Source organism: Homo sapiens, chromosome 4 (assembly GCF_000001405.40).
Source record: "Homo sapiens chromosome 4, GRCh38.p14 Primary Assembly".
Taxonomy (NCBI): Eukaryota; Metazoa; Chordata; class Mammalia; order Primates; family Hominidae; genus Homo; species Homo sapiens.
Genome location: NC_000004.12, coordinates 44,750,976 through 44,770,879, shown reverse-complemented (window position 1 = coordinate 44,770,879; position 19,904 = coordinate 44,750,976). Strand labels below are relative to the sequence as shown.

Genomic DNA, 19,904 nt, shown 5'->3' with positions numbered 1-19,904 from the left:
ATAATTTTATTTGCATAATAAACACATATAAAACATAGTGAAAAAGGAGTTACAAACAAGATATAGTATTATGCCTTGAGCCTCCATGGACAGTTTTGATTTGGAGATTCTCAATGAAATCTCAGCTCTCCTACTCTGACCCCTCCCACTACACACTCAAATTAGCTGCAGTGCTGCAAAGGATAATTTTTAATAATAATTTTAAATCAGAAGAACAGAAACTTTCCTACTCACTGCCCACACATTCTTCCGTTTCTATCTCTTTAGAGAAATAATTCCTTAGCCGTGCCATTAGGTTTCTTCTTTTTTCTTTTTTTTTTTTAATTTCTTTTTTTATTTTGAGACGGAGTCTCCCTCTGTGCCCAGGCTGGAGTGCAGTGGCGCAATGGCGCAATCTTGGCTCTCTGCAAGCTCCGCCTCCTGCGTTCATGCCATTCTCCTGCCTCAGTCTCCCGAGTAGCTGGGACTACAGGCACCCACCACCACGCCCGGCTAATTTTTTTATATTTTTAGTAACACGGGGTTTCACTGTGTTAGCCAGGATGGTCTCGATCTCCTGACCTCGTGATCCGCCCGCCTCGGCCTCCCAAAGTGCTGGGATTACAGGCATGAGCCACCGCGCCCGACCGCCATTAGGTTTCTAAACATAGACCTCCAGATTCCCTTGTCTGCAGAAAGCTTAAAGTCATGTGCACACAGCAATGGCTCAAAATTCCCATGAAGAGCAGCAAGAAACCAAGTTTCTCCAAAATTCCTATTGTATGGCAGGTCCCACATCTCCTCAGCATCTCTCTTGGGTTTTGTTCCCAGTCATTCCTCTTATATTTGTTTGTTTTGGAAAACCTTCAATCATTTGTCTCCTTTTGGATGCAGGAGAAATCAGAAATGTTTCTGATTTACCAAAGCACTCTTAGAAAAGCACATGACAATTTTTGTCAATTTATTCTTCATAATTAGGCCATCTGCACTGATGACAGAGCTTGAATGCTTTGGAAGTCTTAAGATTTGGAACATTATGATTTCTGTTTTGTAGCTTTTCTAACATTGCCTCCCTTCCATGTATTTGTTGAGAGCAATTTTACTTCCTAAACTCCACTTCATACTTCTCCTTGGATATGAAATCATTCCTCTTCTCAAAAGTTAAACTAAAATGAACCTTGTGTACCCTGGTATTCCTAAAAAGTCAAAACCAGAATGTAAACATTGTTTCTTTAAGATATGTGTCTCAGTTATTTGTCCTCATCTTTTAAATTGTACTTTATCTTAATGTATCTTTGAAGTTTTTCTTTTGACAGATAATGGAAAATGAGAGGGAAGGAGGACGAAGGAAAAAGGAGCACAAGCCTGCATTTACTCAGCAGAGAAGCAGCACCAAAATAACTTCCACTATTGTATTCTTTTCCCCCTCCAGCAAAGGTGGTATAGTTTCAGACTGGGAACAATTTGTCTCCTTCTGCTTCAGATGACTCTCTTGCTTTAACTAACATTGTGGGTAGGGGGAGTGGACACGATCTGTTCCAAATGTTCTTGGGCAGAATAACAGAGTTTAGGTTAAATGAACCTAAGAATGCACACAGCACCATTCTGCATTTACCATATTAAACAACAACCAAAAAAAAAAAGCAGATAATTTTTTATAGCTTCACATGCTTCTCCTCTTTGCCAGTGGTTTTCCCAGTAGCTCTCAAGCTATTTTTAAACCCAAAAAAAAAAATAACAAAGCACTGACACTTTTTCTGAGGACAGATGAGCCTTTAATCTTTCATAACATGCCAGTGAATTTAGTTGGGACATAGTTTTTGGTATAAGTTGTCTGTGATTTGTGTTGCTAGGTTATAAAAATGTCTATGGCCCAGTCAATTTTTCCATTTTTTTTGGAGAATGGAATCCTGCAGTAGTTGGGGTAGCTATTCTACAGCCATTCTCCTTTCGTAGACATTTTGTGGCCCTTAATATATTGTCTTAGATCTAGGCAACAACCCATCTATGGAAAAATCTCCATAGCAAGGGGCACCAAATTACAATGATAGGCTAAAACAACCCCAGAGAGCGTGGAAACACCAACACCCTGCCCCCCATCCCCAAACTATATGGCTGATGCACAGTCCTCTGGGAAATGAGCTGAGAAAACCACCATAACATGTAATAAATTCTCAGTGAATGAATGGATAACCCAATATGTAACACTACAGAAGTAGTTATATCTGAGAAATATTTAATAAATGTACTTGTGGAGACAGCTTACCTTTTTAAAATTCTGAACAGATATTTTTATGGAGGTAAAATACACATAACATAAAACTTAACATTTCCCCCCATTTTAAGTGTACAATCCAGTGGTATTAATTACATTCACAATGATGTGCAACCGTCACCACTATCCACTTCCAGAACTTTGTATTCTGTACCTATTAAACAATAACTCCCCATTGACCCCTCTCCCCACCCGTGGTAACCTCTGTTTCTGTCTTTATGGATTTGCCTATTCCAGGTACCTCATGTATGTGAATAATATAATATTTGTCTTTTTGTGGCTGGCTTATTTTAAACTGCATATGCTTTCCAGGTTTGCCCTTATTAGGGCATTATCAGAATTTTATTCCCTTTTAAGGCTGAATAATATTCCATCGAATATTATTGTATATTAATATATACACCACAATTTGTTTGTCTCGTTGTCTGCTGTGTAAAAGGGTTGTTCCACCTTTTAGCTATTGTAAATAATGTTGCTATGAACACTGGTGTACAAGTATCTGTCTGAGTCTGTGCTTCCAGTTGTTTTGTGTAAATCTTAGAAGTGTAATTGCATGATCATGTGGTAATTTTAGGTTTAACTTTTTGAGGACTCTACATATTGTCTTCCATAGTGGCTGTATTATTTACATTCCTAGCAGCAGTGCACAGGGATCCCAAATTCAGGAAGATATTTTACTTTTTAAATCCCACCTCTCCCTCTGTGTGTGTCAAGCATTTATTGAACATGTATAATCAACAAGATGTCAGAGTGAGTTAAGGACAAATGAGGCACTGTTAAACTTGTGTTCTTTGAATTGAAAAAAAAGGTCCTGATAAGAGTTTGGGTAGTTCAAAATTAAAATCAGATGTTCATTGATTTATATAAAAGTATGTATTGCTTATCGGTTTAAGTTATTTGCATTAATAGGGTATTTTCTTTGCTTTATTCCTGTGCATATTATTTTTAGATCCTAGCAATAACAAAAAATGAGTACACTAATAAATATTCATGTTGGCTACAGTCAACTCATTGCAAATATTGTAACTTATTTTAGTCTGCCCAATATTTAGTAATACTAGAAGAGGCAAGAACAAGATAGTTATTATAACCACTATTATTTTTAAATGCTTACTAGGTGGTAAAAACTGGGTTAAGTGCTTTACATACATTATCCATGAATTAGGAACTATTATGTACATGCTAGGAATACAGAAAGTGAGACTTGAAGACACTGGGGAAATTCATCCAAGGTCACATCGCTTGGTAGATGTGGTAGAGTTTACTCATACCAACTCATCCTGGTCAGATTCAAGTTCAGAATCCTAATTGCCTCATTTATTTTGACAGTGTTTGGTAATGGTTAAATACACAGGAGTTTTTATGAGAGGAAATATTAAGAAATAATTTTCAAGTTTCATCCTAATTTTCAAGTTTCATCCTGACTCTTGGCAGCCATTAACAGTGTTCCAATTGCTTCTACACATAGTTTGAAACAGCTGGAATAGGATTATATTGCTATTATTTATCAATTTAGAATGTTGTTATTATTTACTTCTGGGAAATCACATACTTCCTCAGAATAGTATGTATCTATATTTATTGAATATATGAAAGTTTCTTTCCACTTTTGAATATAAAGCCCAGCAGAATTGGAACTAGAACATTTAATCAATTTAAGGAATTTCAGAAAGTTTAGCAAAAACTCATCTAAAAAATTTTTCTACAGATAAACTCTTCCTTTGGCTTCCTATTTTACTTAAAGTAAAATCTCAAACCTATTACCTAAAACTCATCTGTCAGACCTCATGGCCACAACTCCCACATCATTCACTCTCCTCCAGGTTTACAGGACCCTGTGGCTGTTGCTCTAACACACCAAGCAAACTCCCACATCAGGACATTTTCACTTGCTATCTCCTATTTGAAATCCTGTGCTTCCTGGTATTCACATGGCTCATTTCTTAGTTCCTTCAGGTATCAATCAAATGTCACATTCCTGACAACCCTCTATAAAATAACACCACATATCCCCTCATCTCTATCAGTCACCCAGTCTTCACTTTGCTTTATTCATCTTTATAGTACATTTCATTATGTAATATATTATATGTTTGTGTTAGTTATCCATATCCTTCCATTAGAAAATGAGGGTCTTGATTTTGTTCAATTCTATATTTTCTTTATGTAGGATGTAACTGGCTCTCAATCAATATTTGTTGTTCGAAGAAAGAGAGAAGGAAGGAGGATATAAATTATTTCATTTATATGCAGAGCAAGCAACATAAAATATCCTTAAATCCAGGCAATTTGTGGTGCTAACAGAGATCTTACTGCAGTATTTTGAATCCAGACTGTTGTCCTTCCTTTAGGTTTATAGAGCACTGTTTAATATTTTCCAGAAAAAAAACTCAGTTTGAAAGATAATTTAAATGAGAGAGATAAGCCACTGAATGGAAGACAAACTCAAACAGCATGGGAAAAGAAAAACAATGGAAAGCAACAGGTGAGGCATATCCAGTTGCCAATAGTGTTCTCATGGTCCAGCTACCTCCATCCCATTTAGGGATGACGGTAGCAGTATTAAAAGATTTTTTCAAAGCATTCTTTAGACTATAGCTATAAACTTTTAACTGGAGAACCTCTCTAGAAATAAAAATTTGATGTAGATTTCTTCTTTATTTTCTTTCTTTCTTTCTATTTATTTATAGAGACACCATCTCACTCTATCACCCAGGCTGGAGTGCAGTGGCGTGATCATAGTTCACTGTCGCCTCAAATTCCTGGGCTCAAGTAAGCCTCCTGCCTCAGCCTTCTGACTAGCTGGGACTACAGGCATGTGCCACCAAGCCCAAGCTAATTTTTTTTTTTAATATTTTACAGAGAGGAAGTCTCACTATCTTAGCCTATCTGGTCTTGAACTTCTGTCCTCAAGCAATTCTCCTGCCTCGGCCTCCCAAAGTGGATTTCGTCTTCAAATATTCATAATGGATACAGTTTACCAGGCACAATCTAAGGCACAAACACAGCTTCTGGATATATTAGCATTGCCCTCCTCCCTATACCCCATTTATATCACAAAGATGCTAAGCTCCATGTGAGGTGAGGAAATGTGTAAAGTGAATGTTATAAATGTTAACAGCAGCAGTTCATAAATCACCTATTAAAGACTGGGACACCTAAGACACTGTGTGCTCTACAACAGTGCAAAAAAAATCTCCAGTTTCTCTTCAGACAAACGATTTTTCTCAAGAAAGACTACAAGCACTATTTTTTGAGTAACCACATTAAAAAAAAACCTAACTCCTGTCTTAACCATTCTAATTAAGCTACAGCTATGCTTCCAGACCAAGAACAGGTACTCGCAGGTGGAGCTGCAACTCAGCAACAGAACATGTAAAATTTGAAGCCATAACTTTGAGAACTTTGTTCCCCGTAATGTGCTCAGGCATTTCTGTGCAGCATGTCTTGTCACCATGCCTGCTGCTGCTCAATGCACAGTCACGCAAGCTGACAAATAGGTCAACATCCTGAAGTGTAGTCTCAAAGGTGCTCAGAATTCTTCCAGGTGAGCTTTATTTCTTCTACAAGTTTTATTGTTTTGCCATTCACACTTAAACTGTAATATACCTAGCATTAAATTTTATGCATAGTGGAAAGAAGGGATCAAATTTCATTTTTTTTCATATAGGTATCCAAATGAGGCAACACTAATACTGAATAATCTATTGTCTCTACTCTTCAGTATCACTGAAATAATATTTTAATTTTTCCTATGTTTGGTTTGTTTTTCAAGAAATCTTTCCACTTCAACTAGAATTGTATTTGTTTATAACATTCTGTTGTCATTCTCTTAATGTCTATAGAATCTATAGTGACAATCTTTCCCTTCCTGAATGTTCATTTTTGTTTGACATTTTCTTTATCAATTTCGCTAAAGTGGTATATATTTTGTAGTCATTTTTTGCATAACTGAGTTTGACTTAATATTCCATTCATTTTTTCCATTTTTAAAAATGTCTGCTCTGTATTTCCTCCTTTATTTGGCTTACTTTAGTTTTAATATGTTTATATTTTTTGAAATTCTTACAATGAAAACATATCACTGACAGTGAATATAGACATTAAACGTTAAAAATTTCCCTTTAAGCACTGTGTCTCACAAATTTTGATGTGTTGTACCTTTAACCTTTATTTTTATTTAATTCAAAATATTTTGTAATTTCTCCCATGATTTCTTGAGCCATTAGTCATTTATAAGTATATTGTTTAATTTCCAGTTGAGGTTTTTATAGATAATCATTGATCTTTAATTTATTTTCTATGGTATAGAACATACTCTGTATGATATCAATCTTTTGAAATATATTGAGACATATTTATGACCTGTAGATGGTCTATTTTTGGGAATGTACCACATACACTTGAAAAGAATATATATTCCACAACTTGGACTATATATCCAATTGTAGAGCACTTCATCCAATATGGAATATTGGATGAAGTGCTCTACAATTGATCTTAGCCAAAAGTCTGAGAAGTGATAGACAAAGTCCTCTAAATATTATTAATTAGGTCAAGGCTAAAATTGTGTATATTTTTACTGATTTATATCTAATTGTTCTATCAATTACTCATAGAGCAGTGTCAAATTTTCCAGCTATGTTCATATGTCAGTTTCTCCCATTAGCTCTGTTTATTTTTTTATGTATGTGTTTTCAAGCTCAACTATTAGGGGCATATATAGTTAGAATTGTTATGTCTTCTTGATTCATTGACCCTTTTATCATTATGAAATGATAAAATGGCCCTCTTTCTCTCAGATAATCCTATTTGTCTTGAAATACATCTTATCTGATATTAGTATAATCACATCAGCTCTTTGATGGTTACTATTTGCATGACATATATTTTTCTATTGATTTTCTTTCAATTTGTCTGGGTTTCAGCAACTGAGTTGTTTGTTCTCAATAGCATATTTTAGGTGTTTGTTATAAATAGCATATTTAGGTGTTGTTATAAATAGCATATTTTCAGAACTTTTAAAATCTAGTAGTATAATCTCTGCTTTTTACTGAGTGTCTAGTTTATCTTTGTAAAATGTAATAATACAGTGGAGTTTAGAGGCAACATTTTTAAATGTTTAGATCTAACATTTTATACACCAGAGATTACAAAATTAATTCTTATAACAGTCTACTTACATTTAATCTTATACCACATTACATAAAATGTTAAGAACTTTGCCAGAATATCCTTCCATTTACCCTCCCCTCATGTTCTTTTTGCTATTGTTGTCTTTTATTTTATGCTTTACACCTACATACTACAAGCCCCAAAATCCAAACATATAATATAGCAAATAACTTTTAAGAAATTCAGGGAAAAATAGTCTTTTATATTTACTCTCATTTTACCATTTTTGGAGCTCTTTATTGTTGCCTGTAAATCCAAGTTTATATTTAATGTTATTTCCTTTCATCCTGAATAATTTATTCTACCTTCCTTGTACTCCAGATCATCTTGAATTATTTCAGCTGTTACATATCTGTGAATGTCTATCTGGCTTTTATTTTTTATATAGAATGCTACATATAAAATATTAGATTGACCCTTTTTTTCCCTCTGAGTACCAAAGTTATAATGTCATTGTCTACCCACCTTTGTTTCTCATGAGAAGATGGTGCATTTTGTATTATTTTTCACACTTACAAACTTTATCTAACCCCTACTCCCAACTGCTTCCAAGGTTTCTTTCTTTACTTTTGGTTTTCAGTCATTTGACTATGATGTTCCTAGTGTTATGTGTATATATTATTTTTTTGATGCTTAAGGTATATGTTTCTCTAGGTTGGTGTTTATTCACCAAATCTGGAGAAATTTAGCCATCATTTCTGTTTTTAAAAAATTTCTTTTAACCTTTTTTCAAGACAGGGTCTCACTCTGTTGCCCAGGCTGGAGAGCAATGGTGTGATCATTGCAGCTTCAAACTTCTTGCCAGGCACAAGGGATTCTCCCACCTCAGACTCCTGGGTAGCTAGAACTACAGGTTCATGCCACGACACTTGGCTAATTTTCTTTCTTTCTTTTTTTTTTTTCTTTAAGAGATTAGGTATCATTATGTTGCCTGGGCCAGTCTAGAACTCCTGGTCTCAAGCAGTCCTACCACCTTGGCCTCCCAAAGCTTTGGGATTACAGGCATGAGCCACCATGCCCAGTCTAGATATCATTTCTTTGAATAATGTTCTTATTCATATCTTGTGCTTATTCTTTGTATATTCCAGTTACACACACATTAGTATGATATTATCCTACAATGCACTGAGGTTCCATTCATTTTTTAAATTATTTTTCTCTCTATTCTTCAGATTATATGATTTCTATTAATTTGTCCTCAAATTCACTGACCAATCTTTTCTTCTGCCATCTTCTCTCTGCTATTAAACCTCACCAGTAAATTTTCAAGTAATATTACATTTCAAGTAATATACTTTTAAATAGAATTCTTATTTTTTTCTTTCTTATAACATCCATTTCTCTGCTCAGATTCTTCATCTCTTCAGCATCATTTCCTTTACATCCTTGAACATGCCTATAGTAGCTGAATTTTAAATCTTTGTCTTCCAATTCTATCATCTCCAAGAATGTTTCAATTATGTACTTTTACTTTTAAAAATCAGCCACATTTTCCTGTTTTTTTTTTCCCCCATGTGTAGTAACTTTTAGTTTTATGCTATGCATTATGGATTGTAAAAACTAGACTCCGGATTCTAGAATCTTCCTCTAAAGAGTGCTGATTTGTGGTTAGTAAATAACTAAATTACTATGTATCTTCAACTTGTGTGGGCTTGATTTTATAATTTCTTGGGGAGGATTTGTTTCAGTTTAGCCTAGTCCTGAGGAAATAATCATTATTCCTAAGTCATAGCCCTTCTGGGGTTTCAATTAAAAGCAAATCTCATTTGGAAATATTTAAGTGTCAATTCCCATGATCCTTGTGCTGGGCAGAAATTCAAATCTTTGCTTAGCATTTTCAGCCTACAGGCAGGTTTTCTTTCTATATTCCTTGGAATCTCCACTGTGCATGCACAGTTCTGGTTTATCCAACGATGTGAGAGAAGTTTATATGCAGATTTTGGGTCGTTCCTCTTTTTCAAGTATTTTCCTATTCAATTTCCAGCTGGCTGGCAGTCCTGAACTCTAACTCTAACCACTTAAGCTATGAAAACTGTGGCTTTTTGCTTGAGTTTTACTCCCTGGCACCACAGACAAATATTGTTTATCACTGGCAGATCTGAGGCACAAGATCAGGGACACCTGGCTTAGAACTAGTGCTAGAGAATGAAATAGCACCAGGCTAGAAAATGGAGGGTAAGCATTCATCTGGGAGTGAATCTTTCGTGGCCAAAAGTTAAAGGAAGAGAATCCAGCAGCTCCTAGGCCTGGAATCATTATTCCTACGGATCAATCAGAACCAGATAAGTCAGGGAAAGGCACCAGTCCAATAATAACTTATTAAGCAGAAGTGATCAAAAACACATTAACTTGTTCTAAAATGTTGTAAGAACTTTCCAGGGTATTGATTCCCCCTTGTGTCTTACGTCACTCACTACAAAAGAACACCTTGTAGTAATAGTCATTTGATTATGCTGTCATAAAATATTTTACGTAACCAAAAAAATACTTCCGTTGTTGCTGTCTTACTATTTGTCTATTATGGCTATAAAAGAGTAAAAACATTTTCATTCCCTTTCATCCAAAAACTTTACAATCTAACAGTTAATGAAAGGTACTCTTAGAAAGATAGGATGACAAGGGACTACTGAAATCATGAAACCTGCCACCTTCATTTTACAAAGGGGAAAACTGGAGAGTAAGGGACTAGATCATGTCCCCGGACAGTGAATGATAGAGTCAGATCGGAACCTAGCTCTCCTTCCTGAGTCAACGACCCTGTTCCATCTATTTCACTGCATACTGTCTCCTCCATGATTCCCTGGGGCCCTGGAAAGCATCCAGCCTATAAACTTCCTCAAATTGGCAAAGCATCCTAAAATACATACATGGTTATTTTGGACATAATCACTATTTAGTTATCTCTGAATAAAATCTCGAGAAAAATCAGTAGCTCTACGGAATCACTTAATTTACCAAGGATGGTATTTTAGTCTCTAGGAACATCTATCTAAATTTAGACTTTTCCTGCAGCAATATTTCTTTAAACTGTACACCACGAACCACAAATTATCCAGTTACATCACTTCGCTTTTAAGTCATTGGTTTTTTTAAAAAAAATAGGTAAATAGTGACCCCCAGTGGCAAAACTTGTTAGTATCCGCACACTGTAAAGAATTGAAATAAAATGAGATGCTGGTCAGGACAGTTTTGACTGATTGTAGGATATTAGTGTCCAGTAAACATACCCTAACAAACATTAAAAAAAAGAAAATGACTCTCATGTATTCCTATGGAATATCTCTAAAAGAGAGATGGCAAGTTATTTCTTATTGTGTAATTGAATACTATTGTTTACTTTTACTTGTAGTGCCATTTTTTTTTACTATATTCAAAAATTAATTTGGAAATTGATTTAAAAAGCTATAACCATGAATATAAACTAACATATTCAGAAATAACTGACCTTAAGCTACATTTTTATGTTGGTGCTACTCCGGTAAAATCCAGAACACAATCCGTATATCCAAGCTTGCAGATTGACTCATATGTATTAAGTGAGTGAGAGACCAGTAGGCAATGATTATCTCTTTGCTAAATAAATATTGCCATTCCAGGAGGCATATGCTGAAGCTGTGAAGATTCTCCAAATTCTTAAACATTATTATAGCATATAATTTCCTTCATAAAATGCCATAACTAAATGGAAAAAAAAGTTCTTCACACCCTTATCGATTTCATAAAACAGCTCTAAATTTTTGCACTTATAGAGCTATAAAAATTAATTCTCCCTAGAGTACTCACTGAAATAATTTCATGACCTATATTTTCACATTTTAAGGTAAAATACATAGTGATCTTGCATATGACATACAGTTATGCCATAGGGAATTTAACTGCTTGGTTTCAACACAGCCCGTGCTTCTATTTCATAAGCAGTCATTTTGTGAGACTTCTTTACTTTCTCATTATTTCCTGTTCATCTTCTTTTCAGGTCCACTTTCAACAGAATAAATAGAGTTATTTATCACATATGTGATGAATCAAAAGCACTAAATCCTTGTGCATGTGTGTGTGCATGCGTGCATGTACGTGCATAATTTACAAATATCAATCATCTTCTGGATCTGGTGGAAATTACTTTGAATTATTGCTAGGATTTAAAATATACATCAAAACGTGGACATTTACAGCTAGATGCTCTATTTGAAAATCATATTGTCTATGGAGCCAATAAGATGAGCTCTCATTTAAGGTAACAAGTATCAACATGCTTCTAAAGGAAAATATTAATAACATAAGTGTGAACTTGTGACTGATTTAGAGAAAACAGAAAGCAAGCTAGAGCATAAATGGAAGCTGTTTAAAATTTTTTGTGTGATGTCTGTAAGATATAGAAAAACTAATCCTGACTTTGACAGTAAGCTGTTTACTCTGTTTAGTTCATGAGAACTCCATCTGTCCAAGTTATTTTGCTGCATGAAGAAAGGGACAGGAAATTTGCATGTAAAGACCTATTTACAAATTGATGTAATTTCATTTTAGAAAACTGTGGAAATCTACTACTTGGAGTTTTTAGTTTCTAGACTTCTGTTTCCAACTAAATAGTTTATTTATTGAGTAAATAATCATTAAGATCATTTAGGTTCTCTGGGATGTTAACATAACAAAACAGTGGATAAAATACACTAACAGTTGATTTAACTCTGAGAATATATTCACAATAAATTATCCCACTTTTGATGTTTTTATTTCCCCCACAGGAGCAACATTCAATAAACAAGTCACAGGATTACATAACTGACAAACATCACCAGAATACATAAATATGTTACTATTCCTTTTAGTCTGAAGCTATAGCTACTACATAATATTGAAGTGTATATATTAAATGTTGATTTGGGTGACATTATATTGATTACAACCTTTTATTCAAGAGCATGTCTAAAAGCTTAGCAATAACTAAGATTCATATTAGTAACCTGGAGGCCCTAAAACATTCTTCTATGTGATTAATAAAAGATTAATTATAATGTTTATGTAGTTTTCTGTTAACTAGGTAGCAAAAGTAACAGTAACATGAGGAGTAATAATAGTAATAGCAACAGCAGCTTACATTTATTGAGAAAGATGTGTTCATCATTGTCCTAGTCTTTATATCAATTATGTTGACTAATACAACCTTATGAAGTAGAGATAAGAAAAATAGGTGGTAAGTGGTATAAGGTAGGTGTTCAAGGTGACATAAGTAATAAGTGGTGAAAGTTAAGTGTTCAAGGTCAGACAGATGGCAAGTGGTAGCAATTACATGTCCAAGGTCACAAAGGTATTAACTGGTAGAGGTTTTGTGCCCAAGGTCACATAGACGCTAAGAAGTTAGTTATTCAAGTTGAAATAAAGGTAAAGGTTATTTTCTCTACTGTGGAACAGGTGGAAAGTGACAGAGTTATATGTTCAAGACCACAAAGGTGGTATGTGGTAGGATTTACATATCTGAGGCTATATAGGTGGCAAGTAATAGTCTCTCTAGTCTCAGTTTTATCATCAGTAATCTGCAGTTTTGGTCTGGTTGACTGTGGAAGACACCGCTAGTTGCCCCAAATCTGTCTTTTTTTCTGACACAGTAAGGCAGCTATAGCTGACATGACTGCCTAACGAGGACTTTATTTCCCAGTGCCCCTTGTAGACAGGTGCAGCTTAGTGATTGAGTTCTTACTAATGAAATGTCAGCAGAAGTGACACGTAATTACTTCTGGCCTAGCCTGTAAAACCTTGCACGGAGACCCTGTATCCAGGCTCACTTCACAAGCTGAAAGAAAGTACCTGAACAGGGAAGCTGTTGAGGACAATGGCTTAGGGTTTCACCCAGAAACAAACTAGAAATAAGCCAGTTCTCTAAAGGATTGGCTGGAGCATAGCTGTATGCCAACCTATAATGCTCACCTCAGACTGTAAGATGCAAAAAATGTTTATTTTCTCTAAGCCACTAAACTTGTTTTATTTGTTATATCAGCTGAGCCTTCCCTTAACTAACTTGCAGATGCCTTGAATTCTAAAATGCTGAAGTTTTAAATAATTGAAAAGTTGGTAATGTTATGGTCATAAATTTTAAAACGTATAAAGCAATAAATCATTTGATAAATCTAGAATCCCTAGCACTGACTCCTTTCCATAAGATATTTTATAATATACATCATGTCTGATGTTTAGTTCTCTGGATTCTAATCCTTTGCCTTTCTTTATATCATGGCATCACTTATTATAACTTCAACACCCCCTATCATATTTCCTTAGACTTTAATCCATACTAAAATATTAAGTAAAAACCACAATAAAGAGATCATGGTATTTTGCTACAGATAAGAAATTGTGCCAGATCAGTTTTCCAGCATTTGAACAACTTTATGCTCAGAATCCACGATTAAACTGAAAGAGATTTTCTTTCCATAATACCAATCACCTTTAGTTTTAATGAATATAAAAGAGATGAAAACTGTGAAAATAAATCAATGCATTCTTCCTCAGAAAAGCAGTTTGCAGTAAATAGTATGTTGGATAATTTAAATTATAAAAAATGTTTGATTTTTTTTAAAACAGTCCTGTGGAAATTATTCCAGTTTTGGAAAGATGGGGGCAAGTCTCAGACATGTTGCAAATTAGCTAATAGTAGCAGCTCCATCTTGTTCCATTCACAAGTGTTTCAAAATATCCATTAAGCACCCTATGAATCACGGGTGGGATGGTGTGTCACAAAAATATGTAAAACACAATTCTAACTTTACAGAAGTTTCCAATCTAGTTAGGGAGAGGAAACTAATACATTTGATGTTAAATACAAATGTGAAAGACATTCATCGAAAGAATAGTTCAATACATGCTGAAGTGAATTAGAGAAAAATTCCCAGGACAAAAGCATCTCAATTTTAATTTTGATTGGCAGCTCAAGGACTGTTTCAAAAGTGTGAAGAAACTGGAATGAACAAAGTTAATAAAAATAGTGGGACATTTCCAGGTCAGGAGAAGTAAGGAGGTGGAAATCTGGGCCGGACTAGAACAAAAATAAAGGAAGAAAAGGAAAGATGGTGCTAAATTATTGAAGACTTTGAAATGTAAGTTTAGAATTTGTGTTTGACACCATAGGAAATAAGAATAAATTATATATTTCCAAGAGAGTTGCCTGCTGAAATGTTTTAGAAATATTACTATGAAAGCTTTGTGGGAAATGAACTGAATTGATGAGAAATTGAAGACAAATAGACATCAGTTTCATGGAAATATGAAATACACATGTTGGTAAACCACAATAAGCATCATTGAGGATGTGGAGAAATCATAACCCTTATGCTCTGCTGGTAGAAAAAGAAAATGGTGAGGCTGCCTTGGAAAACAATTTGGCAGTTTTTCAAAATCCTAGACATAGAGTTACTATATGACCCAGAAATTCCATTCCCAGGTACATACCAAAGGGATTGAATGTGTATGTCTACACAAAAGTTTGAACATGAATGTTCATAGAAACATTCATCATAATAACCAAAAATGGAAATAACCTAATGTCCATTGGCTGATAAATGAAAAGGTAAAATGTGGTATATGCATACAATGGAATATTACTTGGCAATAAAAATAATGAAATACTGATACATGTTACCACATGGATGAACCTATAAAACATTATGCTAAGGATAAGACACCAGTCATAAAAGGCCAAATATCACATGACTCCATTTATATGAAATGTCCATAATAGTCAAATCTATAGAAGCAGGAAATAGATCAGGGGTTACCTAGGGTCAAAGGGGTGGAGGGCTATTGGGAGTGAATACTAGTGAGTAAAGGGTTTCTTTTGAGGCAGATAAAAACAAATGTTCTAAAATCATTGTGATGATGGTTGCACAGCTTTGTGAATATACTAAAAACCATTTAATTGCATACCTTAAATGGTTAACTTTTATGGCATATGAATTATATCTTAATAAAGTTATGTTTAAAAAGGATTTGTTGGGATAAAGATAATAGCTGGGAAAACCTTGAAATTATAGATTTACAAATAGAGCTACTATACTGATACTAGAATAAACCCTGTAAATTTCATGTATAAATATTTAGAACAAATGTATATTTTTTAATTTATATATTTATTATATATATATAAAATGTCACAAGGCCCACCCAAATTGAAGGGGAGGGGACACAGATCTGCCTGTTGATGAAAAGAACTGCAAAGTCACATTCCTAAGGGTGTGGAGATGGGGAGGAATAGATAATTGTCACCTTATTTTTCAATCTAACTGAAGTGAATGGTGGGGGGAGCATCAATAATGAATCCCTGGTTTCTTGCCTAAGAAACTGGGCAAATGATGGTGCCACTTACAGAGATGGGGCCAGTCAGGCCCTATACTGGTTTTCCCCCAGAAAATGAATAAATGTTCCATGCATGTTTCCAGTATTCTAAAAAGTAAATCTATACAAATGGCACAGCAATAATAACTGTAAGAACTGTGGTAGAATAATCAATGTAAGACCCAATTTAAGAAAACAGTTATTACTGAAAACAATACAGCATTGGGGGTAAGAGTAGAATCTACTAAACTCTCATAGCAAACACTGCCAGAATGTGTAGAATAAGTCATGATTTCCTTTGACATGTGAAGCCATATAAAGTCCAGTCTCACATGTGTCACATCAAGCTTCTTGTGGGAATTCACAAAATGCAACAATTTTCAAGGATGTTATATACACAGGCTTTATATTTAATGTGCTTTGCTATGTTTAAATCAAGTTCAAGGTCCTCCTAGGAGTAGGAAAATCCCATATGTACTATTATAGAAAAGAGCAGAGTGGGTTTGTAACAGAGGAGTCTTTGAGGTGAGGGGACACGACTGAAGGTATGCATTGTCACAAGCCAGGATGCACAATTGTACAAGAAAAAGGAAGTTAAAGTAGTTACGATTTGTCAACATGTATTCTTTGCTTAGCTCAAAGCATATTTTCAGACTATCAGCTGGTTTTATGAATGGGGTTCGACTTTTTGAATTTAACTTGCTTCTAATTATTGACTCCCATGCTCAGTGCAAGTTTCCCATGACCAAATGAAGTAAAAACTTTAGTTTTCTATCTTGGTATTCAAGGATTTCCCTAGAATTCCCCAATTTATCTCTTGCCCATATTTCTCAATCCTCTCTTACATTTAGCCAAAACAATTGTCCAAGTATGCTGTCCCACAAACACACCTTGTCCTTTGTTTCTTTGCCTTTACTTACCTCTTTATTCTCTACCTGATGCTTCCTCATGATTTCAACTCTTCAAAAATTGTATTTGTCTTTCAACTTAGGACTCCAACCAATTCCAGGAGCTTATTAGAATTTCTGTTTCTTGAACTTCCACTCTACTTTGTGAATAATCCTTGTCATTTATTTCAGTCTGGCTTCTACTGCATTTTTGTTTATCCCCTACATTCTTGTATATTTCCTGATGAGACATGAATCCACTTGCAGGGTGAAGTTGCCAGGAGCGGGATGTGAGAAGTGAGATCTGAAGCCCCCCAACTCCACCAACAAAATGGTTCCATTGTTATCTGCTTCATATACTGGTCTATAGAATTCCACGTAATATGTCATTAGAAAAAAAAAGAGTTCTGTAGGTGTTTAAAAGTTTTAAAACTACTGTTTACTTATTTTTGCATCCTCTGGTGTTCTAGACATAATCTTCTTCCCATGGTAGTGGGCAGCAGTATATGTAAGCTAAAATTGTTATGATATATAAAATTGTTCTCTTACTGCCAGAAGGAACAATAAAGGAATATCAAATATGAGAAATCACATATTAAGTCAGTTGGCATATATTACTGATAATTGCAAATCATTTGCTAAAAAATAAAAGTGGCAATCCAGCAGAAAAATAAGCACTTTTAAGCACTATTACATAAGGTAATTGTCAGTGATGGGTTCAATTGGGATCAAATAGCCATGAAAAGAAGCAAAATCACAACTTCCTAAATCATCAGAACTTCTTAAAATAAGTGGTGAACTAAGATACGAGCAAGTATTAAATTGTAGTGTGTATTCACTCCTGCACTCCTGACATAAGTATTCAATCATAACTATAATATTTCATACCATCTTAAGCCTCCATCTTTGCTTTATCCAGTCTGGTGGGCAAAATAATGCCCATCAACATATGATCACATCCTAATCCCACAGACCTGTGAATATGTTACATTAGATAGCAAGGGAGAGTTAAGGTTGCAGACAGAATTAAGGTTGCTTAGCAGCTGAAGTTATGGTAAGGAAATTATCCTGGATTATCCAGGTGGATTCAAATGTAACCACAAGGTTTTCTTTCTTTTCTTTTTTTTTTTTTTTCAGATGAAGTCTCGCTCTGTCACCAGGCTGGAGCATAGTGGTGTGATCTTGGCTAACTGCAACGTCCGCCTCCCGGGTTCAAACAATTCTCCTGCCTCAGCCTCCCGAGTAGCTGGAACTACAGGCATGAGCCACCATGCCCGGATTATTTTTGTATTTTTAGTAGAGACGAGGTTTCACCATGTTGGCGAGGACACAAGGTTTTCTTAAATGTAGAAGAAAGAAACAGGACAGTCTGAACCAGAGAGATGGCATTATAAGAATGGTTTTGCTGGCTTCGAAGATTTCAAAAGAAACTTGAATCAAGAAATCCAGGAATCTTCCAGGAGTTGTAAAAGGCAAGAAAATGGATTCTTTCTTGGAGCCTCCATGAGGGAATACAGCCCTGTCAACACCTTTATTTTAGTCCAATAAGACCCATTTCATATTTTGACCCCTAGAACCATAAGATAAATTTGTCTTGTTTGAAGCCATTAAGTTTGTGGTAATTTTACACAGCAGCAATAGGGAGCTAATACACTTCCCAAGTTATTTAAACCATCCCCCAGATGCCCAGAAACTGCTCCCTCCTTACTAAATATCTTTCCTATTTCAGTCACCTGTCATTACTCCCAAACTATATTTATTTGTAAGATGATCATTATAATTTGATAAGATAGTGGTATTTTCTATGAATTTCTTTGTCAGAAAAATTACCGGGAGAGTTATTACCAGGCCTAATGAATATTTAAGCCATGATTATTCAGCTATTTTAATTAATGTCATTTCAGACACCAATCTAGAAGCAAAATGTATTCTTGACTCCTCAAATAGTACACACTAACTTTATTGTTATTTTTAATTTTAAGGAGATAAACTTGCTGTTTGTGTTATGAGTTGATCTCTCCTAAAAAACCTATTTTTAGAAAATTGGGCATTGTTGTTACAAAGAGAATAAAATGCCTAGGAATGTAGCTAACAAGGGAAGTGAAAGCCCTCTTTCTGGAGAACTACAAACCATTGCTCAAGAAAATCAGAGAGGACAAAAATAAATGGAAAAACATTCCATGCTCATTAATAGAAAGAACAAATATTGTGAAAATGGCCATACTGCACAAAGTAATTTACAGATTCTATGCTATTCCCATTAAACTACCATTGATATTCTTCACAGAATTAAAAAAAAAGCTACTTTAAAATTCATGTGGAAGCAAAAAAGAGCCCGTATAGCCAAGACAATCCTAAGCAAACAAAGAACAAAAGTAGAGGCATCATGCTGACTTTGAACTATACCAGAAGGCTACAGTAACCAAAACAACATGATACAGGTACAAAAACAGACACCAGACCAATAGAACAGAATAGAGGTCTTAGAAATAAGACCACATATTTATAACCATCTGATATTCAACAAACCTGACAAATACATGCAATGGAGAAAGGATCTCCTATTCAGTAAATCGTGCTGGGAAAACCACTAGCTGTATATAGAAAACTGAAACTGGACCCCTTCCTTACACTTTATACAAAAATTAATTCAAGATGGACTAAAGACTTAAATGTAAAACCCAGAACCATAAAAACCCTAGAAGAAAACCTAGGCAACACCATTCAGAACATAGGCATGGGTGAAGACTTCATGACAAAAATGGCAAAATCAATTGCAAGAAAAGCCAAAATGGACAAATGGGGTCTAATTAAACTAAGGAGCTTCTGCACAGCAAAAGAAACTGTCATCAGAGTAAACAGGCAACCTACAGAATGGGAGAAAATTTTTGCAATTTATCCATCTGACAAATGTCTAATATCCAGAAATTACATGGAACTTAAACATATTTACAAGAAAAAGACAACCCCATCAAAAACTGGGAAAACGATGTGAACAGACACTTCTCAAAAGAATATATTTACGTGGCCAAAAAACATATGAAAAAGGCTCAATATCACTGATCATCAGAGAAATGCAAATCAAAACCACAATGAGATACAATCTCATGCCAGTCAGAATGGCGATTATTAAAAAGTCAGAAAACAATAGATGCTGGCAAGGCTGTGGAGAAATAAGAATGCTTTTACATTGTTGACGGGAATGTAAATTAGTTCAACCATTGTGGAAGACAGTATGGTAATTCCTCAAGGATCTAGAGCCAGAA

The 19,904-nt window shown here is 34.9% G+C and overlaps 2 long non-coding RNA genes across 2 annotated transcripts in view; one reads left to right on the top strand and one right to left on the bottom strand.

The window, feature by feature from the left end:
• LOC105374439 (uncharacterized) overlaps window positions 1-19,904 on the bottom strand; it is a 45,914-nt gene that overhangs the window by 7,016 nt on the left and 18,994 nt on the right. The window lies entirely within an intron of this gene.
• LOC112268465 (uncharacterized) lies at window positions 303-18,241 on the top strand. Its single transcript, XR_002959790.2, has 2 exons — window positions 303-5,801; window positions 17,776-18,241. It is a non-coding gene; the product is annotated as an uncharacterized LOC112268465 (long non-coding RNA).